The following is a 25,713-nucleotide window of genomic DNA, read 5'->3' on the forward strand; positions in this document are numbered from 1 at the left end:
TTAGTCATTAACCCTTTAAGCCTAGTCAAAGAACATGCTTTTCCCACTTCTCTCACATCACCATTCTAATAGAAACTTACAGGTATCAGAAAGTGCACCTTGTGCCTTAGAAAGCTACACAAATAATCAACAATCCCTAATTCATAAGAATGTCTGCAGCTTAATTAGCCAGGCATAAGACTATTAGTTGACTAAAAAAAAAAAAATTACAGCTCTTAAACGAAGACAACTTCTCAATATTTATTTATTCATTCAGTTTGATGTGCGTATCTTTGAAAAGGGTTGACTTATAAAGAAATACATGAAGTTTACAATCTGTAGCTCAATCTATCAAAGAAAATGGTGGCTTTTAGTAATTAAATAAGACAAGCATTAGTTCCTACCATTTTAATGTGTTCAGGGTAGGAAACAGAATAGACAATTGTGACTGTAATGAGGCCCATGAACGTTTAGAATATGATTAATGCATTTTCCACACTGACCCATGGAAACAATAACAGCTAATGTGGCCCCACTCTCACCTGTGAATCGTCTTATTCCCACAGGAAACATCAAACCTCCCCAAATATCATCCTCTAGGCAGAGGTCACTTAACTATTAAATTTACAAGGCAGGTGCAAAAAAAAAAAAAGGTGGGGGGACCGATGAAATAAAGGAAAAATTCTATTTACTAAAATTCAAGTAGCTAAACTATCTTTTAGGTGAAGTCAGTGAAAACCTTCACACATTGCTCATTTACCCTTATTTCAATCATAATGCTAATATACTTCCCATCTGGTTTCTATTTTTCAGCAAGTCAAAAGAAAAAACAATTGAGATAGATATGGTAAAGTATTAGCAGAGACAGAAAAATAGCTACAAAGTGGCAGCTGTCAAGGAAAAAGGGAAACAGTTATAAATTCAAGTAGAACTAGAAAATAGCCATGAGAATGTGGAAAAGCTACCAGCCTCTCACTTTTAGAGACACAAAGCAATCAGTGTGTAATTGTTTCTTAATGACTATTCCAAACTATCAAAGTTATACTGTATTCGGAATAATCTAAGGTAATAAAGTATCTAGTACACTTTAGAAATATTTTTATTCAAAATTAATTAAAAAGCATTATGTTAAAAAAGATAAGCTTTTGTTAGTTAATAGACTTCCTCACCAAGTCATGTTGAGCCTCATTCAACAGCACAGAATAAGCCAATTTTATACAAGACACAGGTATATGGAAACACAAATAACTTTAATGATTTGTGGTAAAAAAGAAGGAAGCTTGAATCTATGATTGAAAAATAAAAAATAATTACATGTATATCTACACAGAAAGTACAATCACAAGTTTCAAGAGCTTAACACAAACTAACTGCTGTCAAATATTTAACAAAAGCAAAGATGAAACTGCTTAACAGTCAGGGAAAAACAACAAAAAGAAGGGAGGGGTGATAAACCAAGAAAATGAATGACAAAAACTAAGAGACCTCATAGGTGTCTTTACAATCAGGAATTCAGATGCAAGGAACAGACACAAACCTGTCTAAAATGTGACCTATGAGGCAACAGAAAGTGACTTAAAGTCTGTTATAAATAAAAAATGACAACCAAAATCCTAGAGAGTCTTAAATTATTTAATCCAGACATTATCTAACGCCTCGGATTTTTGTTTGGTGCTATGGTGTTCATTTTCTATCAGAATGAAATGTGGGACAAATGCATTACTGGTTGTAGAGAGTGTTTCAGAGCTAATTCACCCAGCAAGGTCAGGGTCAAAAGGTTATTATTTTGTTCATATATTTCTTGATATGAAAAAACAACATGTCAAAGAAAGAATTAAAGCAAAATGTGTTTTCAAATGATAAACAGAATCTCAAACTTTCAAGTAAGTGCATCTTAAGATGTTGATGAACTTCAGAGATTCTCACTATTTTAAAACTAGGGATATTCTATTCTGGTAGTTATCAAACTGTCCTCTTTTGTTCATGAGGAACCAAACTGGCAAGTCTCTCAGTGTCTCCTTCCCCAAGTCTTTAATTTTATAAGTATATTCAATGTCTAGGAAGGAATTATTAAAGAATTCTGCTTCTTAAAAAAATGTTTCAAAATAATCTAATGTATCCTTGTCGATTCATGAATGAGAGCACCCAGAGCAGAGTAACCTCCCCACATCTGGCCACTCTCAGGTGGTATCCTGCCCACTCACTAAGGCCTTGCCTATTTGATATTAGTAAGCCCTCCCCATACCTACTTCTATACTTACTGTATGGCCTTTTGTATGATCTGGAAAAAATCTGTTGTAAATCAAGTAATCACCAACTTCTGCCTCCATGCCAACCTAAAAACTTTAAAAAAAACCTTTTCCTTTTACAAAGGAAGAAATTAAGACCTTCAAAATTATTTTACAAATACCAACAAGGTTTACCAGAAGAAGACTGCTTCTTAATTTAAAGTAATGACGTTGGACTGACAATTTGCTAGACTGGTCAGACCTTTTAAAAAATACTAACATTAAAATGTGTTAGAGAAAATGCTCTAAGTATATATACACATGTAGTAGATAAACAGAGTTACAAATTGATAGTTACAAGCAAATGTACAGAATAAAAATATGTACCATGAGCCTAGTGTTGATTTTTACCACACACACAAAAAAACCAATGTTAATGATTAAATCACAATTTCCTGATGATATACAAGATAAAAAACAGGGATGAAAGTGTAGAAACACACAACAAAGTAAATTATTAAGAAAAGAAATGAACACAATATAGGATAAAGACAATTGCAGATAGGAGAATTTAACACCTATGGTGGCACATTTAGACCAAATACTCTTTTTTCAATAAAGCCAAAATAAATTGTTTGATAATATTCTGTTTACTAAAAAAAAAAAAAAAAAAAAGGCAAGTTTTTTCACTGGTGGCAGGTATGGAGAATATTAAAAGACTCAAACAGTAATGATACCACTTGTCTATTTAACCAAGATTCTGGTGTCCTCATTAATCTTTGATACCCAATAATCTGAATAGAAAGACATGATAAATCAAAAACATGCCAATTTTAAAAAGAAAAACCTTTAAAAGCAATCCCAGCTTCTAAATGGTAAACATAACATGAATTCCTAATCTGGCATTAGACTTTTTTTTTTTTTTTGATTCAAAGACAAATATGAATGACTCTACCTATTTGTAAAAATGTGAACATTAAAAACAGTACAATGACTGGGCTCTCACAAACCGTGCAAATTCAATTTGAAATGTTCATCTGGTATAATATTCAGCTGTCAAGAGGAAGCAACTCAAAGGACATCACACAGTCTATAAACCAGCTCGAAGGAGCCTTCCAGACTTTGCCCTGCCGAACCCTCTCTGGGTGATAATTACACAAATCTTCATAGATGATATACTGTGTGCAGAAGCGCTGATCAGAATCGGGTCTCGCATGGTATGCGACTGTATTGATGGTCTGAGTCACGTCACTGTCTGGCTTGGGCTTTCTACTGAGGATCTGGCCCCCACCTGCAGTGACGAGCTTAATAAGGTTGTCCTTTGGATGGTGTTTGAAGGTTCCCCACAAATAGAAGTAGCATCCATCAAACAGCTTTGGCAACTGAAATAATGAGAAAACATTTGTTAAAGGCAGATCAAAATACTGTATTCAAAAACACTGTATATGAATGAGGAAAATAAAAATACAAGTTGAATATCCCTTACCTGAAACATTTGGAGGAGAAGCATTTCAGATTCATAAATTTTTTGGGTTTTGGAAAATTTGCATATACATGAGGTATCTTAAGGATGAGGCTCAAGCCTAAACACAAAATTCGTTTGTTTCTTGTACACCTTATGCACATAGCCTGAAGTAATTTTATACAATATCTTCAGTAATTTTGTGCATGAAACAAAATTTTGACTGTGTTCTGACCGTGACCTGTCACATGAGGTCAGGTGTGGAATTTTCCACTTGTGGCATCATGTCAAAGCTCAAAAAGTTTTGGATTTTGGAGCATTTTAGATGTTGGATTAGGAATGCTCCATCTGTAACAATTATGAGCAGCTAAGAAGCTACTTAATGAGGTGCTGGGACAAGTTATATTTCAAGCATACTAACTGGATCAAGAAAAATACTTAGGCAAATAGGGGCTTCCTATTTACAATTTTTTCCCTAAGATTCAGTCACCATCTCGGTTCCTTTTCACTCTTCTAAAATTTTAGATATGCTTGGTATAAAGAAAAAAACAAACTATTCATCAAACTTTTTTCATCAGGATGTTTATGCTTATTTGGTGGGACTTAAAGCCTCCACAACTCCTAGCTTATTTGAAATAGGCTTCAGAGACACCAGGCTAAACATTATTAAATTACAAGAGTAACATCTTTTCCGTGGACTTTTATCCAATTCTGCCCATCCACATTCAGGTCCTTACATATTACCAACCTAAGGTCTCCAGGGCAGCCACCATGGGGGTGTGCCCTCCAGGGTTCCAGAAATGTATTCACGGGGCACAAAAGATTTTTGTGCTGAGGCTAGGGATCCAATTAGCTATGAAACATACTTCCGTATGCTCGTTGGAAATAAAAAAAGTTTCATAATTCCCTTCTATGGAAATTTTCTTTGTGACTTCTAATATACTTATATAATATCAACAGGATAATGCGATATTATCCATTAAAGCTACAATATGTGGCCATAGAGACATATGGTAACTAAATCCAAGCAGCAGCTGTAAGTCTTCTTTCAAGCTACTTCCTGTATCTGAGATTTACCTCAGATTCTGAAAGGTTTATGGCAATGTTCAAGATGCCAAAAATCCATTAACAGTATGAAATTATTACCTTCTGGATTTTACTGCTCATCGTGATCATCTTTCAGAATCAAGTGCTTGAAATAAGCACAATTAAAATTTTAATCAGTCACCTGTAGCTGTTGAAAGGGCAGAAGTTCTTCCTGATGGTGATAATAATAGTATGTCATAATAAGAACAATGAAAGTTGTATTAAAAGAAAAATACCAGCTGTTCTCTGTTGAGCCTGCTTCTGCGTGGACCTTCAGGAATTTCATACTTTTCTTCCTGTTCACATACTTTTCTTCGTAGACATGCTTTTACCCCTGACAAAAACACAAGAATTAAAGCAAACTAAGTATCAAGTGAGCACTATATCTCTCTCATTAAAATCAAGCAATTTACCTAAGTGGTTTTTCTTCTTCATGGCAGTTTTTAAGTATTATTCTAAAATGCAAACAGAAATCTTACTTATGCCAAAACAAAATGTAATACAACTGGTTTTCCCATATAAAGAAAATATTTTAAAAAACTCTTTCTTTGGAGGATTAAGCCATAAGTTAGTACTGAACACTAACTGTAATTTTAATCTCCTTTCTGAAAAACCTAAGCCAGGATACTATTTCAAAGACAAAAATAAAAGTCTACATTTCCACTCATAGCAATTACCCAAAATTAAGGTGAATAAAAAGTCCATGACACAATAACCTAAACTGAGCACTTACCATCTATACTGCTCATTTTGACAGTTATATGTCTAATCGTCTGTTAAACTGTAAGTGATTTGACATGAAGGAATGTGCTTTAGTCTACAGCACCAAGCTCAGCTAGCCACACAACAGGGGTTCAACAGCGCTTCCTAAAATAAACAAGCAGAGCTTGGGATAGGTTTGGCATGTGACAGGTACACAACTGAGGTTGCTAGTCTAGAGATGATTTGATTGGGCTTTGCAGGAAAAAAAAAAGCATTCTTTTGATGGCTTGAGTAAGTCTGTTCACAGCTTCAGGTTAAAAAGCAAAAGCAATAGAGACAGCTCAGCCTGGCACTGTTTAGAGTCATTCCACTGCTTGGCACCTGGGTGGGGAATCCCTAAGTAGGGCCACTGGCTGGCAGCCAGTACCAATTGTCTCGCTAGGCTCTAGAAATGAAAGGAACCCTTGGGATTCCCAGGACCAATCATGAAGGACATGGTCAGCTTCAGCTAGAGACAACATCTTGGATAATGCCTGTTTACCACCAAGCGAGGGAACTGATGGCATGTATATATATTTATCATGCTTCTGTTCTGATGGCATATAACTAAACTAAATTTGAGATTTGCAGTTGAAGGACTTGGCTATCCCAATTACTTGTTCTGGAAGCTTCCTTGCCTATGGAAATAAAAAATGAAAACAATGTTTTTCACCGGGCTTCTGTGGATAAAATGCAAGAAGCATTCTAAAAACTAGATACTACAATGAATTATCTTCATCATAAAAACAAACCCTCCATACAATTTCCTATTTGTCTTTGAGGTTGTTTTGCTCAATACTTCATTTTATCACTGAGGGTAGGAACCATATATTATTCACCTATGCGTTCTTCAGAATTTCATACACTTTCCCATAGAACAGGAGTTTAATAGCAGAGGGTATCGGGAAAGTTGGAACAATAACTCAGGTATCCCCTTCACTGTCTAGTGTTGTTAACATAAAGGAACAAAAGTTTTTAAAAATTCACTATGGACACAGCATTGACAGATTGTATCCACATCAATAAAAATAAGTAATTATATAGCACCTGTAAGAGTTCAGAGTTACACATAGTTTTGAATATCAAACTGTTACATCCTGTTATCACTTGATATCTAATGGCTTAAAATGATCAGAAAAAAATCTATGGCTGCATAAACATATACTTTATATTGAGGATTAGACATATATGTTGGATATACTACAGTGTTTTGGAAACCTCTTGAAAAATGCTAGTGATAAAGTTTTGTCCAGCTGATCCCTACTTACTTCAACAGTAAATTGATTCCAACACAGGAGCAGAACCACTACTCGGCATGTAAACTGCATATGCCTGCAAAAGGGCTCCTTTCTTGACTAAAGGGTGGCTAAGAACCAACAGTTAATCTGCTACCCAGAACTGTCCTGCGATTGCATCTAATATAAATTAAGATTCAGTTGTGTATGAGTAAAATGTCTTTTGACCTATGATGATTTTTTTTTCTTTTTTTTTTTTTTCTGAGACAGAGTCTTGCACTGTCACCCAGGTTGGGGCGCAGTGGCGCAATCTCGGCTCACTGCAAGCTCCGCCTCCTGGGTTCACACCTTTCTCCTGCCTCAGCCTCCCAAGTAGCTGGGACTACAGGCGCCCGCCACCATGTCTGGCTAATTTTTTGTACTTTTAGTAGAGACAGGCTTTCATCGCGTTAGCCAGGATGGTCTCGATCTCCTGACCTCGTGATCTGCACACCTCAGCCTCCCAAAGTGCTGGGATTACAGGCGTGAACCACCACACCTTGCTGACCTATAATGATTATCTTGAGAGCAAAAACTTATACTGGAGAAGAAAAAGAAATGCAATGTTTTCCAAGAGTGAGTAATGGTCCACTTTAGACTAACTCAGACTTTATGGCATAATCGGTTTTAAACTTTCTTCTTTATTACCCCACACTGACACAATAACAAAACTTCAACTGTTTCCAGGAGCCACATCTGCAGAATTTGGAGTAAGCGACAGAACTGAAAAAACTGGTACTTTCTGAGGGAAAAAAAATGTGTTTGAGTCCTCTTTATAAAATGTTTTATTTATTCTAATCTTGTAACTTGAATTTTGAAAATACCTAGAATCAAATAACTTACGAGGTAGAAAAGACCCTGAAGAGCTAGTCCTACCTTCTTGTTTTAAAGATCTGCACAGTCAAGTGCAGAAACATAAAGTGACTTGCTAAGATCACTAATAGCAAAGTTAAAGTGAACCACTTCCTAAAGCAACAGACTTCCACTTCGGCGCTCTTCCTATATCATATTTATAGGCCAAGTATCCCTTATCTGAAGTGTTTGAAACCACAAGTGTTTTAAAATTCAATTTTGTTTTGGATTTTGGAATATTTGCACGTACATAATTAGGTATATCTTGGCAACAAGACCCAAGTCTAAAAAAGAAATTCATTTATGTTTCATATACGCTTTATACAGATAAAGCATATATGAAGATAATTTTATATACTATCTTTAATAATTTTGTGCATAAAGTTGTGTCTGCGTTTAGACTGTGAGCCATCATGTTAGGTCGTGTGTGTTGTGCTGGCACTCAAATAGTTTAGTATTTTACAGCATTTTGGATTTTCAGATTAGGAATGCTCAAACTGTGTTAAACACCTATCATGTACAAGAGAAGTCATAATCTCTTCCCTAAGAAGAAAATTCCTGCTGTTTCCTGTCACTTTATTTCAATAATCTAATCCTGAACTTTCATTAATATTGTATGCTCTATCTCAGAGTGCTTAATTTTAAATGAAATTTTATTGCTTTATTTTCCTCTGTCAACAAGCAATCCACTATCAAATTTAATTTTTCAAGCACATTTAAAATTACATCCATGTTTTAAAGATATTAAGGATGCCACTGAGATAATCTCAATCATGGTATATCTAATAACAAGAAAACTCCCTACTCTTGTCCAGAAATCCTAAGAACTTCACATTACGTAAACTTCTGTTACAAAGTCAGTGAAAGAAAAAAGGTTAATAGCTTATACATAGACAAACATGAGAAGATTCGTTTTTCAGATTCAGCTTTTCCCTCTTTTCCTACTTAAAATGGCTAACCTTTCAAAGAATAACAAATGTGGGAGCAGATTTGCTTGCCAGAAAGATAATAAAATATTCTTTTATATTTTGCATGTATTTCAATGTTAAAAGCAAAGATAATAGGTTTTTTGAATAAAATGTTTGAATGCAAAGTTGTTTCTGAAAATAATGGAGGACCAATATATTTTAAATATTAAAAAAATATGCTGGAAGTATTAATGATTTACATGTATTAGTGAAGTGGTATTCAAAAATACTAATAAAGCAGGAAATAATACACAGCCAGAGTTTTAGCCATTTATAGCTCTTGTTAAACAAATACGAAATCACAATATTAAATATGGAAAGAAAAAGTAGAACATCATTAAGAAAATATGGAATAAGTTGTTCCATTGTTACTTCTCTGGGTTTAAATTGAGTAGAACCTGAGTAGAATTTATTTGATTGTATATAAGTTTATTTTACACCTGTAAATACTATCAGACAGAACTCTCTTCTTATAAATTAATAGAGAACCATGAGAGCAGTATCATTTTATAAAAACTATGAATGCTATGTTACCTAATATTCATCCAATGAGCAAAATACTTTACTATAGATTGAACGTGTACATTGTGCAGTGCTCTGAAAACTTTAATTTTTCCACAATCTAGAATAAAATACTCATAAATCATAAGGCCTAACCAATCCAATGCTAAAAATCACACACCAATATTTTCTGGTCAAAGGAGAAAAAGAAAATTCTTAAAATACCAATTTATTCTATTCTGTTTTCTTTTTACTTTTCTAACTTTAAATGACCAAGGACACAACTGTTTGTTCTAAGAAAAGATCCTGATCAAAATTACTGTGATAACAGCTACCAAAAGTACTTGTATCCTTCCCCAAATCCAGCAAGAGTAGTATAGTCAATGCTCATTATCTACAGTAGTTATGTTCTATAAAGATGCTATGAACACCGATTAGTGAATAATGAAACACTGCTGTTAAAGGAAATACAGGGTTACATTTCTGTGGGCCTGTGGCTCCAGCATTTCCATCAACTGATCAATACTTAACTTTGTTTTATGTATGTTTCTGTTTATACACATTATTTATTGTATACTGTTGACTCATTAAGATTAAACTTAGGGCCAGCAGTACTACAATTAAGGCCTTAACAAAGCTTATCCTACACAGTATTTAATATTTTCCCTGAAAGGCACATCACCATCTTCTTGAGCTTAGACTCACAAAACAGCACTTCAGCACTGTATTATGAGGCCATTTTAAATAATAAAATCAGCAACAAAAACACAAAAATGCAAAAAACATGGCATCAACAGACTGTGAAAGGGCCACTTGTTTACAGCGTGAGAGCTGAAAAGAGGAGGTAAAGTATCACCTTGTTTGACCTCAGCTGGGGACACACTTGTTTGTCAACTAAAGTTCTTCACTACTCTGTACATGTCTACAAAAGCACTGTGAGTATTGATTTGGGGATTACAAGAAAAATTTTAGCAAGTAAGAAAACTCACAAACACAGAATCCACAAACAATGAGGATTTACTGTTTATTACTTCCAATTCAGGGGAGGGAACTGAAATGCTAAGAAGTCAACTTGCTTAAAGCTGAATGCAGCCATTAAGTGGCAGAATGGGAATTTGAACCTAAATCTGCTTAGTTTTCTAAAGGCTGTGTATTTCACACTGAAATATAACTTAGTGGTACACAAGATAAACCTTGGGTATTATCTTAGCATGATGTGAATATGTCAAATGCTTAAAAGCTGCTTAAATTGAGTGTTCTAAGATGTTGTTTATTATAAAAAGGTCAGAAGACTAACAACTGAATACTCCATCTCTCCAAAAGCAGAGGTTTGTCAAGACGCTGAGTCTTTCCTGAATTGGGTCATTAATGCAAATTCAAATTCAACACTCACACTCAGGACGTCTATGATTACCCATCATGTCAATCTTAATTTGTTAGTTTTATCTGTGTTTTATTTGGCTCTCAGATCTCTCTCCCCCATTTTTTTAATATGAAAGTCATATTCACCCAAGGTTGCTAAGCTGAATTTCCGAATCTTATAATTTTAAATTATCATAAATGTGCTTTGAAAATTGTTTACATATAATAAAAATTATACTCTAAAAAAGGCATAAATTTTAATAACCACTCACTGAATTAAAAACCTTTCTAATAAAGGTAATATAAATATTAATTTTATTATACATTGAAAATGAGACTCAAAATTCTTGACTGGGTCAAAATACCATACTAGAAGCACTGCCAGTGTGCTGGAATTATGTCATATATTGTTTCTATATTAAAAATCAAATAAAAAACCATCAGGAATCCAGTGAAATGGTTAACTCAAATTCACTATTTTATATGTGATTTTTTTATTTTCCTCATTACGTAAGCAGGTATTCCCCTTCCCAAATCTCCTTCCCAATGGTACTTACAGAGTATTCATAATTGTATCTTTAACTGCATATGGTGGCACAGAAAGCCAAGGACTGAACATTCTTATGATATCTACTGTATCGAATGAATGGCTAATGTCTAATTGCAGAATTAAGTAGGCTGTGCTTGTGCCAGCTGCTTCTCCATTTTATGGGTTTATTTGACTGATTATTTACAAGAAACACATTAAAATGGCATCTATTCCTCCTGAAAACATGCTGGCATTAGTCAATCAACAGAATTTAACCTTAATAGATACTACAGTCCAGTAAGTATGGCATCAAAAAAATGAGATGGCAGATACCAACAGAGCAGCATGGTACTTCCATGAGAAGGAGCCAGTGTAAGTCTTAATTCATTAAATATTCTGTTTCATGGGAGTTATGTAGTAAGTTTCTGTAAAGTAAAGCAAATCCAATGCTCTAGTTACAATGATTGAGTTAAACAAATACATTTCTCTAATATGCTTTTACTCCAAGCAACAATTTGCAGAATCCTGTGTCACCTAAGACTAACTAAGGAAGAATGAAAGTAGCTCTTTTTCTTTTCCTGAAAAGAAAGGATGTTTCCAGGTCTACAACTACATTTGAAGGGTGGCAAAGTGTTTTGTTAAAGTTGCTGTTATAGCATAGAAAATCTCTAGAATTTTTTCAAAGCTGGGAGTGACAACTACTTCAAGGATTGCGACTCAAATGCCTACAAAAGCCAGGTAGATTACATAAATGTGTGAAGAACCTGGTGTGAGGTGGTAGGAAGCTATGGAGACTGTAACAAACATCATGCCTAAATATATAAAAATTAATTATGTTAGACAAAACCAGACACTGTATTTCCTTCAGCCCTCAGAGTCCTCAGCCTGCCGATTTGAAACTTTTGATGCTTTGTCTAATCAACCTCTTTTATAGATAAGGAAACTTAAGTCCCAAGAGATTTAAGTGGCTTTCTCAGTGACATAACTGAGATGAGAACTGAAATATCCTCCATGTCACAGATCAAGTTTTTTTGTTCATCTTTATTTTTAGTTGGATCAATGTGCTTACTCAATCCGACATGCTAAGGTTGCCACTGTCTAACTTGTTATCTGAAACTGTGAGTTTCAGAATGATGACCTACTCCGGAGACAATACCACAGTTACAAATTCATATCAACTTCCTACTGAACCTTTTTTTAAGACAAATCAATTGAGTTGATTTACTGAAAAGTAAATAAGAATGAAATGCTTTAAAATAAACTTTCAGCAATTCAAATGGTGATACATTATCAATGCACTGGAAGAATCTACCAGCCAAACATTACTTAATTAACCCAAGCCTAAATAATGACTAACATTTTAAGGTTTTATTTACTGAATAAAAGTTAAGCAATCTGCAGCAAGAATTCTTAACCTATTTTCCATTTAAAACACAGTTACATTTTAAGATTTAAACTATTTTATATTTGTAATAAACAGTTAATAAAGTCCATAATTATTCCATCAGTTTAGTAGAAAGATGAACTCTTCTACTTCCTTTTGAAGAAAAAAAAAGCAAAAATACAAATATAAGACCACATTTTAGTTAGCTTTCTTGGCTAATAATTTCCTTACTAAAATTACCTTGCATGAGTAAGTTTACGTAAACATAACTTTTGCATATGCCAGAATGATACATACTTGAAAATGTGTCAAGCCACTAACCTTATAAAATGTATGCTTTATTTCATCTTTGTTACTTTTCATATGTTCCTTTATAGTTGAAGGTTTTGACTGAAGCTATCACTTCGCAGAAACAAACGGATGAACTACTTAGCTATTACAACTAGAGATTCTTTTAGCCCAGGTGTATTCCTGATCATGTTCTCCATTTCATGTAAGCTTTCCTTTTTTCCTGAGATCTTATTAATTTTTTACATATAGGTAAGCAGCCCCATTTCTAAAGTACTGATTAACCCAAAGTCATTAAGGTAGCTCTGTCTACCTTAGCAAAGCCTGGAATTTTTGCATAATAATGACGCTTATGAATTCCAGGGCTACAACACTTTTCTATAAAGAAACTTGTACTGTACAGAAGGTATTTTTTTATTCTAAATTGCTAATAACCACTCTCTCCTCCTACCTCATAAAAGCATATACATCAGTAGATGTATATTTCTGTTTTAGCTGCATGGACCACTGATGATGGTCATGGTTTTATATTAAGCTTACATTTCCTATAATAAAAAAAGATAACACAAATGCAAGGAAATTAAAAAAAGGAGGGGTGTTCCTGAATCCACAGTTATACAAAAATGATGAGAGAATACAATGAAGATGGAAGAAAACTTCAAAATGGAGATCTGTTAAATGTCCAAAGGAGGAGACGATTATTAACTCTGCATGGAAAGCCATACTTAGAATTTTCTCACTCTTCAAATCCCAGAGTAGTAAACAGATCCACATTTTAAAGAATTTTTAGGCCAGACCTGGTGGCTCGCACTTGTAATGCTAGCACTCTGGGAGGGTGAAGCAGGAAGACCGCTTGAAACAAGGAGTTCAAGAACAGCCTGGGCAACAAAGTGAGATCTCTGCCTCAACTAAAAAGAAAAAAAAAATTAGCCAGGCATGGTGGTGAGTGCCTGTAGTTCCAGCTACTCAGGAGGCTGAAGCAGGAGGATCACTTGAACCCAGGAGTTCATGGCTGCAAAGAGCTATGATTGCACCACTGCAGTCCAGCCTGTGTGACAGAGTGAGGGAGGGGAAAAAAGGGTTGTTATTATTCTGGAATTAATGGCTATTTGTAACTGAAATAGCTATGGGAATCAGAATTAACCACTTTTAGTCAATACAAAATATCCTAAAAAAAAAAAATTAAAATACAGAATCAAACATCACTATTCTATATGAAAACAAATGTTCTACTACAGTATGTCATTAGATCTAAACTAAAGATGTTTAAATTAGGGATGTGTGTCACTCAAGATAACAGTATGTAAGTAAAATAAAAATTAAAGAATTTCCTTTGATTCTATTAAAAATCAACACCCAGATTGTAAAAGCAAAACAAGTGTTTTGCAAATGATTATATTTTAGACTTTTTAGTCGAGTAAACTATAACAGCACTAAACTTTAGTAAAAAGGGACATCACAATAGGCAGCCTACAACAATGACAAAAATGAAAAAACAGTAGCATACTATCACTGCAATTTTTGGAAAACTTAAGTAAAAGAACAGAGAAATGAGTTTGAAATTTGAAACTTCCATAGCGAAAAGTGAAAGGACAATGAAATAAAGGCTGAAAATATAAAATAAAGGCTAAATGTTTCCATTTAAGATTTGAGATATCTCATTAAATACTGTCGACAGTCATTAAATTCTGGCTCCATATAAATATCATTTAGCAATTATTTATTTTTGACATTTTAGTAAAAATTCTGGCTATCAGCATATTTATATGTAGAAATATATTTCTTCACATTACAAGATGTGTAATTTGCTATTTTACTTAATGCATTGAGAAGCAGGTTAAATTCTATTGCAAAAATATATTATTATATCATAAATTTTTCTTAGACAAAACTTGGGTATCAATTCTAAGACCTTGTATTATGCATAATAATATCAAAATATCAAAATAGTCTATCTCTTGTATTATGAATAATATCAAAATTGTCTGTCTCTATATAGGTATGGTTAAAAACCGAACACAGTCTAACGTCCAAAAATTCTCCTAATTATTAGAAAACTCATGCTCAGTGTTCTTTTGAAGTCATATATTAAAAGTTCAAATTTTTATGTAAAAAATTCTGTTCTGATTAGGACAATCACCATATTCAAATGTATTTGCTGGGTATCCATTAAACAGGTATAAAAGACCTGTTGTATCAGATGGGAGGAATAAATACATGCAGGTTCTAATTTCCCTAATTAAGACCAAAGCCCTTCCCTATCCAATTAATCGTTAGAAAAGTGAAAATACTTCCAATTATTATTACAACTTGAAAATTTCAACGTATTAATTTATTCCTAGAGAACTTAAATTTGATCTAACAGGCACACACTATTTTTAAAACTGTTATAAACAAATAGTCCTCTTCAGTAACCCACCAATTTACTGCTCTTTGATTATTTTTTTACCCACATGCATGCATACATTTATATATTGTTGAAAGTGAAGATATAATTTTGATGTGTTTAAAATTTAAACAATTCTATTTTTCATAATCTTTTAGTCTTAATATTTATCATATTAAAAATATGCATTTTTTCCAGAGAGTATCTTCAGGCATTTCAGAATTTTCCTAATCTTTCATATGTAGGTTATATTCTCTACTTCTTGCTGTTAGAAGTAACACTGCAAATACTTTTTCTTTCATCTGTATTTCTTGCGTAGGGTAAATTCTCAGAACTGGGACTATTAGATCAAAGGATGTTATTTTTTTTTATTCTTAGACAATCTTTGGTGGAAGCCTTCTGTCAGCATAAAGTTGCCTAATCAATCTTAATTTATACGAATGTTTTTTTTTAAATAATTAGCAAAGTCTGTATAGAATAAAAGTTGCATTTAATTTTAAAATTCCATAGTACTCTCAGTATCCATTTAAAGAAGCCAACTTGTTAGAATTTGTTTGAAAAGAATTAATGTGTTAGCCTGATTATGAGGTTATTTATTAAATGATGATGTAATGATTGTCTTCTAGGGTCCATCTCTCCTCAGCTAAAACAAAAATGAAAAAACACTCAATTTAGCCCTTCCCCATCTCACAGACATAAATCCAGTGTAAAATGTCTGGCACATTCCTTCAGTAATTCCCTTAGGTACTGGGGAATTTTACAACTTCTACAGCTGCAATTTTATTTAAACTTAGATGAGAGTGGGGAAGAGGGAAAGATTATTAAAGAAAAGATGACAGCCATCTGTTCTCCCCTTCATAATGAGATAAGAAAAGAAGATGTAGAATTAAATTTATTTTAGAAAAAAAGGCTAAGATACAAAAAAATTTTGAAAGCAGTGTACTAAAAGAATAGGTCAGTAGAAAACATTTTATCTTGGCCTAGTTTGCATCTTTAGGATACAGTTTCATCTTATTCATACTCTATGAGATTCGTAAGATGACTTATTTATATACCTTCTATTCTTTCATTCTTATCACCTCTTTAATGCCAAAATCAACCTTGTATGAGGGTGGTGCTAATGGCCTGTGAGAAATTAGCACCCAGACTAGGACTAAAGTAGAGTCTCCCTCACCATTTTGATGTTGAAGGAGGGACTTTTCTTATCTATAGCTCCTATTTCTGTAAAATATAAAATAAGTATCATTCTGTAAAATATCTGTAAAAGAAATATAAGATAGACTGGATGGTCTGTAAAATTATGGCTTAGTCTCAGAATCCTCATGCTAAGTTCATTAATTATGGCACTGTAAGATACTCTGTATAAACAATGTAGGAAAATAAGAGATATTAACCAATTAAGACAGAACACTTCAACAGAAAACTTCTCATAGTTAAATTTGGACCCAATGGATCCAAATCTTTTGTATAATTCTTTTTGTTAAATGGTTTAGTTTATAAAATGTGTTGATTATCTATAGAGAAAATTACAAATAAAATTCTACTTGAATCTATTTGGTTTATGAGAAATCCCATGAAAAGTTAATATGAAAGTTTCCTAATAGTTAATCCTGAAGTTTTGTCTACCAGCAAGTTAATGGACAGACTCAAACATGAGACCTAGTTTTAAAAAGTCATAAATCTTTAAAATTAATTTTGAAAGCTTTGGTCCACCTATCATCTTTTAATATGAATGGTTTTCAAATAGTTTTAAATAGCTCTGAAACATTTTTAAAAATCAAACTGAGCCAGGTGCAGTGATGTGCACCCGTAGTACCAGCTACTCAGAAGGCTGAAGCTGGAGGATTGCTTGAGTGACACCTCATCTCTTAAAAAACAAACAAAGAATCAAACTGAGATGCTTGACACTGAGAACAGTATAGAAACTATGAGAAATATATATTAGGAAAGAACTATTTGAAGGTTCTTGCCTTCTTTTTGTAAACCCAGTGACTATTTAAAGGAAGTATCTCAAACTTTGAATCTGTTTCTCTTTGTACTCTATATTAGAAAATATGACGATATGAACTTCAGTAAGGGATTCCATCCATCCTTTATCCTAAAAGAACCATTGATATTAGAGGATGTTATTCACTACTGTCAGAATCACCAAATAGCACACTATTAAGTTAGTCCGAGTCCATCAGTGGTTCTATAAAAACGACACGGCCAAGATATTAAAGTGACAAAACCCACATTTCCCAAAGAAGGCATATTTTATGGAAATAAATCATGTAGCCTGTATATGTAACCAAATGCCACTTCAGCATATTCACAAGAACTAGACTCAAAAGTTAAGTGGTAAATGTCTTAACATTCAAAATTTCGTATGGCTTCTTTATTACTGCGACCTTACTATGATGAAAATCTATTTCTCCTTATAACCACTGGAAAGGTTTCTGGCACAGGTTTGATACAAAAGCATCCCTAATCATGAAACCATTTTAAATGAATTTTTTAAACACTGAGGCTCAATAAGACTTTCACAGATTTAAAAGGAAAAAGAAAGTTCAAAACTAAGTGAGACAAATTAGTCCAATTACTTATACTTCTCAAACTCATCATAACTAGGAGGGACTAATTAATAGGGATTGATGAGAACAGATGGAGTGGCATTGCTAGTCACAGCCTCTTAGCTGGATCAGACTGCATTGGTTGAGACAAGCATCACAAAAAAAGAAGTGGTAGCTGTATTTGAAAATGACATGAATACCAATTGATGAAAGGAAACTGTTTTACAAACCAAATCAACTTCTAACTACAGATTAAATTAATAACATAATTAAGATCTTGATAAATCAGGCATTCTACCATAAAACCTTCAAAGCACAAAGCCATAAAACCATTTTTATAAACTAATTTTAATCCATCAGTTGCTTCATAAAGAGTTTCAATAAATATACCCACTGTTCTTTCTTAACATCTTATTTAAAAATAATTATAGTCACAGGAAGTTTCAAAGGAATGTACAGAGATGTCCCACGTACTTTTCCTTCAGTGTCCAATGTTAACATCTAACACCGCTATAACATAATACCAACAAATTGAGTTCAATACGATCCATAGAGCTTATTCAGATTTCACTAGTTATTTATTTTTTTTTGAGATGGAGTTTCACTCTGTTGCCCAGGCTGGAGTGCAGTGGCGCCATCTCGGCTCACTGCAACCTCCACCTCCCGGGGTCAAGTGATTCTCCTGCCTCAGCCTCCCAAGTGGCTGGGATTACAGGCATGTGCCACCACGCCTGGCTCATTTTTCTATTTTTAGTACAGAAGGGGGTTTGCCATGTTGGCCTGGCTGGTCTGCCTGCCTCGGTCGCCCAAAGTGCTAAGATTACAGGCATGAGCTACCGTGCCTGGCCTGATTTCACTGGTTATAAATGCACTTGTTTGCATAATTTTATCTCAGGTAGTCTTGTGTTACATGGCCACCACTAACATCAAGATACGCAACTGTATTGCTCCCCACATTCCTCCTCTGTAACCACTAATCTTTTGTAACTACTAATCTTTTGTAAACAATTAATAAACAAAAAAAGGTCAATCCACTGTTCTATGTTAGCCATAGTATCAAAAGTAGATATGTTAACTATTAAGGAGTAGAAAATAATCGTGTATGAGCTTTCTTTTCATTTTAAGTCCCAAGAGAATCCAAGTAGAAATGTAAATGAGTGACAGCAGGGAAGGTGACAGGCAGCTCTGAAGGTGATGGTGGGTTGACTATCAGCAAGAAGAGGGGAACAGGTATACATTTTCAGTGGAGGTTGAGATAGCTGGTATAGTGACTCCAACTAAAGTAGTAAAAGGCAGTCAATTTCCCAACAGCTTCCTAAAAATACTGGATTAAATTAACTAAGACCAAAAGGGTGTTATGCAGGTAATCATAAAGGAAAAGCAATAAATTGCTTTCATTTCACAGACATGTCATGCAGTATATTTAAAACATGTGTTATTAAATTCAATATATCATTTAACAGTAACATGAATCGCTTAGGCTTAAAAGTATACTATGTACTCCATTTACTTTTCATTGAAATAGTTGGTATTGTAGGAAAAAAGACTTTAAAACCAGAACATATGTATATACATTTACTAAGGACATCTAAATGACACCATAAATATGAGAAGCTTTTTCTTTTTTTCTTTTTTTTGAGACAGAGTCTCATTCTGTTGCCCAGGCTGGAGTGCAGTGGCACCATCTTGGCTCACTGCAAGCTCCACCTCCCAGGTTCACGCCATTCTCCTGCCTTAGCCTCCCAAGTAGCTGGGACTACAGGCGCCCGCCACCACGCCCGGCTAATTTTTTTGTATTTTTAGTAGAGACAGGGCTTCACCGTGTTAGCCAGGATGATCTCGATCTCCTGGCCTTGTGATCCGCCCACCTGGGCCTCCCAAAGTGCTGGGATTACAGGCTTGAGCCACCACGCCCAGCCAGAAGCTTTTCCAAAATGCAGTGACTAACCAGAGGTAAGAAAATTAACATCAAGTTCCTTAATCACAGGCATTAATAACCATGAAAAACAAAACTAGTCTAATTCATTTCTTAATTCTCTCAAATCCAACACTTACATTCAAATTTTAGAATCCAGCATCCATTGAGAATCCCAAGCATACACTTCAAGGTACTTTGAACTGCATCACCAGGAACAACAACATGAGTTACTAAAATACAAAAAAAGCAGTAAGAGAAAGAAAGATACAAGCCAAAGTATTTCTTTGGCCTGCTTCTTATAACTCATCTATATTTTGTAAGCTTATATCTGAATCTTCAAAGGCAACAATTTTTACACTTAAGTGTAAGACTACTTCTATTTAGTATCTAGTTCTCTAACCTGGCCATCAATATGAAAAATCAGATCATAAACCATATATCTTAAAGCCATATTGGCAAACACAAATTTTTATTTTCAAATTACAGCTAAGGGATTATGACATTACACTGCACAACAATTTATTTGTCACTAGCAAAAGTCACAAATTTGCTCTTCTGAAATACTGTCTTGTCCTAAAATATATGCAAACCTTTAAACTTTACATTTCCTAACTACGTTGTTGTCTATAAGTAGTTTATTACTGAAAAAAAATTTAGATGTATTACAAGATGCAAAGTATACAGCCATCTCCCAATGGTTAAAACATATGTAAATTATCAAAGGTAGTTCTCCAAAAGGATCATCTATTTAACATTTTTTCTACCCCACCTCCCAAAATTCAAAATCCTCACCTGTACTGTCAAACTCAGTATATTTTTTAGCCTTAAGAATTACTGCAAGCTCACTGAGCATTTTCTGTTGTTCTGAAGACAGCCCACTGCCTATAAGTACAAGAGGTCCATCCCTACGCTGCCCAGTGTTCATCTGTTAATATAAAAGGAGATACCAGTGTTAAAAACATTAGACGACTAGACAAAGACATTAAACAGACTGTTACTTGATATAAGCTTGAATTTCATTACTTAGTTTACTCTAATAATTTTCAATTATTTCCATTGAATCTACACCCAGAACCTTTTAAATAAATTTTTTCTCTTTATTTTTCCCTCAAGAAAATGTCAATTGTGATAGCTCTCTATACCCAGGGCATCTCATTTCTTCAATTTTAAATTGGGTCTCTCTAGGGTTTTACTTCATTCAGTCACCAGTAAGTCTTTTTCTTTTCCCAAGTAACTTAAAATATCCACTTAAAATCAGCAATTCCCTATTCCACCTCCACTAACTTGTCCCAATAGAGTTAAAATCAAACTTGTTTAGTTTAAACTGAGATTATCTGAAAAATCAAAGAATGCCAAGGCTTCTAGAACAGTGCTGACCTCAAAGATAGAAAACAAATTAGCATCAAAATAGTAACCCCTCAAAACTAGGAAAAGATAAAAACAGACAAGTTAATTCAAAACTTAGGAGATCAGATCCATAAATAGTAAGAAGTCCATATAGCTCACGACTAAGAAAGAAGTGCTGTAACAAAGACTAATAGTTTCACTTTAAAATCTAGACTTAGAATTCACAGAAGACAAAAAAGACAAAAATAAAGAGAAGGTAAGAGTGGACAGCATTAAAGCTGAGAAGTGAAAGACTCCAGGAAACAATATATGTCCATATATATATATATTTCCATAAAAGTGTTTGTAAATGACAGAATTCAGCACTTAAAAGTTCAGCTCATCTTTCCTAGTCACTAAATTGTAAGATGATGTAACCACATCTAACCTAAACGCTATAAACCCTCCTCACATAGACCTAAAACCATTAAAAACCCTAGAAGAAAACGTAGGCAATACCATTCAGGACATAGGCATGGGCAAGGACTTCATGTCTAAAACACCAAAAGCAATGGCAACAAAAGCCAAAATTGACAAATGGGATCTCATTAAACTAAAGAGCTTCTGCACAGCAAAAGAAACTACCATCAGAGTGAACAGGCAACCTACAGAATGGGAGAAAATTTTTGCAACCTACTCATCTGACAAAGGGCTAATATCCAGGATCTACAATGAACTCAAACAAATTTACAAGAAAAAAACAAACAACCCCATCAACAAGTGGGCGAAGGATATGAACAGACACTTCTCAAAAGAAGACATTTATGCAGCCAAAAAACACATGAAAAAATGCTCATCATCACTGGCCATCAGAGAAATGCAAATCAAAACCACAGTGAGATACCATCTCACACTAGTTAGAATGGCTATCATTAAAAAGTCAGGAAACAACAGGTGTTGGAGAGGATGTGGAGAAATAGGAACACTTTTACACTGTTAGTGGGACTGTAAACTAGTTCAACCTTTGTGGAAGTCAGTGTGGCGATTCCTCAGGGATCTAGAACTGGAAATACCATTTGACCCAGCCATCCCATTACTGGGTATATACCCAAAGGATTATAAATCGTGCTGCTATAAAGACACATGCACACGTATGTTTACTGCGGCACTATTCACAATAGCAAAGACTTGGAACCAACCCAAATGTCCAACAACGATAGACTGGATTAAGAAAATGTGGCACATATATACCATGGAATACTATGCAGCCATAAAAAAGGATGAGTTCATGTCCTTTGTAGGGACATGGATGAAACTGGAAACCATCATTCTCAGCAAACTATTGCAAGGATAAAAAACCAAACACCGCATGTTCTCACTCATAGGTGGGAATTGAACAATGAGAACACATGGACACAGGAAGGGGAACATCACACTCTGGGGACTGTTGTGGGGTGGGGGGAGGGGGGAGGGATAGCATTAGGAGATATACCTAATGCTAAATGACGAGTTAATGGGTGCAGCACACCAACATGACACATGTATACATATGTAACAAACCTGCACGTTGTGCACATGTACCCTAAAACTTAAAGTATAATAATAATAAAATAAAATAAAATAAAATAAAAAATAAAAAAATTAAAAAAGGAAAATATTCAGTGTACTTTATGGATTGTTCAATTACTCTTTGATAATATTTAAAAACACTACAGTATTTCAAAAATTCTTAAGTTACACAAATACCATAAAAATAGCTCTAAACAGAACACATTACTTCTCAATTTATATAACTCCACTTCAGCTACATTAGTTCTCTGCACAAAACACAAGAGTGAAAAAGATATCATTTCTAAATATAGCATATGATACTATTTCTACCAACCCAAGGAAAGCACCAAAGTGGGTCAAGTATTTTCCTATCATACTTTTAAAAATTTGCATAAAAAATAGAAACTGGCACTAATTTCTCACAGTTAAAGAGTGCTATAATAAAACATAAAGCAAACAGCTGCCAAAGCCACATGTCTGATTTGGGGTGAGGTGGCATGGGGGCTGGGGATTTGACTTGAATAAGCATAGGTCTCTGACCCATGAGGCTCAAAAGAGGTACAAAAAACACCCCAAAGGTTTAATACCCTGATTTTATAGAGATTAGATACTATGTTCATTAGCATTAAATTCAAAGGAATAATTAAATAGGGTACTTTTTCTTAGATAAAATCATTAGTTTTTCTTAAGTTCATCAAAAATGGGGTTAAAAAATCTAGAAAAAAAATTAAAAAGGTAAACATGCTGCTTAAAATGAATCACAAACAGAGAAGTCTCAAAATGAATGAATGATAAGGAGTTTTTTAAATTTTTAAAAGATTAGAGGTTGCTTCTCAAAGCAGATTTCCAACAGCCACTAAATTTTACTTAAAACATAAAAATTCTAAAGAGAAAGGAGAGAAATTCAAACCCCTTCCTTTAGGGAAGCAGTGAGCTGCTTCCCTAAAGCAGCTCACTGGAGATCACTGATTTAAAGGGTTCCCAATGACGCTACCAAGCACTTGTGCTTGTTTCAGAGGCAAGTATGTATCATAAAGAATACTCTAATGTTCCTTCATGCATTCAGCACACACTGAACACTCAGTATGTGCCAAACACTGTTCTCAATGCTAGGGCTACTATAGTAAACAGAAGAGCCAGCCCCTGCCCTCACACAGTTTATATTCTAGTTGAGAGGGGAAAACAACACAAGAAAATAAAAATACATTACATCAAATGAGAAATAGTATGGTACAACACACCAGGGGAAGGGGGTTAGACAGCACTGGGAGGTTGCTATTTACTGTGCAGTGGCACAGAGCCCTCTCTGCTAAGACGATGCTAGAGCTGGGTCTGAAGGGTGTGAGGAAGCTGGCCATGGGAACATCTAGTTCCTGGAAAAAAAAAAAAAAACTAAACAAGTGGTGCTGCACACCTGAAATGAGAGTATGTTTGGTGGACTCAAGACACAGTAAGGCAGCCCATGTGACTGAAAAAGAGTGAGTGAAGAAGAGACTGGTAGTGGCTGGGGGAAGGTATATTCCAGAGGTTCCATCTTTAAGGACTGCACATTAAGAAACTACCCTTTAAACCTGAAGGACTTGATATTATCTTTTCCTTAGCCAAGTACCAACCATTAAGACAGTAAATAGTAAAACTCAAAAGGCCATGTCTACATGACATGCCCAAAGTATAGGTCTCTTCCATGTAATAAAAACCCTCCTTTTCTGAAAGGCACTGCCACCCCCAGACTCCAAGAATACCATAAAGATATCTTTATTCTTGACACATTTAAAGTAATCATTTTCCAGCTTTTACATAAAAGGAACATCAGCAAAGGACAACTTGGTTATGCTATGCTCTGTCAGACTTCAAGTACAAATGAAGAAAACAAGTCAATTTATAGTTGCTGAGTACGGTGGGACTGAATTGAGTACCGACCTAAGTTTTAAGAAATGTGAGTTTTAACTGGTCCATTAATAAAGAAAAAAACAACCTTTTTTTTTTTTTAATGGCTGGTTAACCCTGGGGCAAATCATAGCCTCTTTAGGTCTCACTTTTCTCATTTGTAAAGTGAGAAAATTAAACTGCTGATTTCTAGCTTCTCTTCCAATTCATTACCAAAACTATAGTTTGGAACAGATTTATAAGGCTGAAGTCTAAAGCAGAAGACATAGGGTTTTCAAGATATGAAAGCAACTAGCTCATGAAAGCATCTATGAGAGTATCAAACTGTAGCTACCTTAGGCTACCTCCTTATCTTAAACAATGGCATCTACTACTACTCTTGTGAATGATCCTTGACCTCAGCTCCTCCCTTTCTGTTACTTTCCCCCATCTGAGCAGTACTGGGATCTGGTGAGTCTACCAACTCTCTCTAAAACTCTTCTTCTTCTCTCCATCCCCACATAACTACCATCTATAATTCCAGTCCTCAGCATTTCAAACCTGGTCTCCACTACTGCAGCCTCCCAATCAGCCTTCAGTCTCTTCCTACTCCCAGCTAGCCTGCAGACAGTCCTATTTCAGTTATAAACACACTGAAGGTACCCTATTAAGTCTAAACTCGTATCAGGGAATTTAAGGCTTTTCACAATCTGGTCCCAACCTAACCCTTTACCCTGAATCCCTCTTAAACACACGTCATACTCCTCTCACAGTAAATGCTATAGTTTCTCAAATTCCTAAGGTCCTTTATGCCTCCTTGTCTCTGAGCAGCTGTTCCTTAGATTTGGGCTGCCATTCTCACTTTGTACACCTGACTGCAGTGGGGAATGTTGGCTGTTACACTCAAAATCTATTGCTCACTTCCTCCACACTAACAGAAGCCCAGTTTTGTTCAGGTAGCCCCCCTTTCAAAGACTGACCCTAACCTCCAGCCCCAGGAGGGGCTGTCAAAATCAATTTCTGACAATAAGACACAGGGGAAGTCCACGGAAAGGCTTCAGGGAAAGACTTTAGTGTCTCTTTTTCAGTTGGCCACTGTCATATCTAGAATTGTGGCAATCATTCGACAACCATTAAAGGAAACTTCTTAGTGAGGACAAATCCCCCAAACTGAGGATGGCAAGGTAAAGAGATACAAAGAATTTGGTTCCTTGATGCAACCACTAAGTGCTAAATTAAGCAAATGCAGAGCTATCCTGCATTGGGATTAATTCTATATAAAGTAATAAATTGTCTTCAAGCATTTGAGAAAAGGTTTTCTGTTACTGGCAGCCAACAGCATTCTATTAGACACTCTGCTAAAATGTTTACCCTGAAAGACTTAGGACACCTTTCTCTGTGAAATTCTGTGTGTGTGTGTGTGTGTGTGTGTGTGTGTGTGTGTGTATATATATATATAT

General features: G+C 34.8%; 1 protein-coding gene across 11 annotated transcripts in view, besides 2 other annotated features; it reads right to left on the bottom strand.

Annotated features, from left to right (window-relative positions):
• Positions 227 to 25,713, bottom strand: part of BARD1 (BRCA1 associated RING domain 1) — an 84,038-nt gene continuing 58,551 nt past the window's right edge. For 8 of the 11 annotated variants that reach the window (NR_104215.2, NR_104212.2, NR_104216.2 and 5 more), the window contains 4 exons: positions 20,303 to 20,435; positions 19,648 to 19,740; positions 4,992 to 5,089; positions 227 to 3,589 (listed from right to left, as the gene is read on the bottom strand). Coding sequence is in view for 8 of the 11 variants with exons in the window: in NM_001282548.2 (NP_001269477.1) it covers positions 3,257 to 3,589; positions 4,992 to 5,089; positions 19,648 to 19,740; positions 20,303 to 20,435 (657 nt within the window). In the remaining 3 variants the exon portion in view is untranslated. Of the gene's footprint in view, positions 3,590 to 4,991; positions 5,090 to 12,688; positions 13,703 to 19,647; positions 19,741 to 20,302; positions 20,436 to 25,713 lie in introns of those variants that run through there. The other 3 variants (XM_047445350.1, XM_017004614.2, NM_001282549.2) reach the window with 2 other exon arrangements.
• Positions 11,809 to 11,858: an enhancer, noted in NCBI's record as "active region_17070". NCBI's record gives its function as "activates an Ori minimal core promoter by ATAC-STARR-seq in GM12878 lymphoblastoid cells {active_cell/tissue: GM12878}" and the evidence as "EXISTENCE:reporter gene assay evidence [ECO:0000049][PMID:35858748]".
• Positions 11,899 to 12,098: an enhancer, noted in NCBI's record as "active region_17071". NCBI's record gives its function as "activates an Ori minimal core promoter by ATAC-STARR-seq in GM12878 lymphoblastoid cells {active_cell/tissue: GM12878}" and the evidence as "EXISTENCE:reporter gene assay evidence [ECO:0000049][PMID:35858748]".

The sequence above is a fragment of the Homo sapiens genome, chromosome 2, assembly GCF_000001405.40.
Source record: "Homo sapiens chromosome 2, GRCh38.p14 Primary Assembly".
Taxonomy (NCBI): domain Eukaryota; kingdom Metazoa; phylum Chordata; class Mammalia; order Primates; family Hominidae; genus Homo; species Homo sapiens.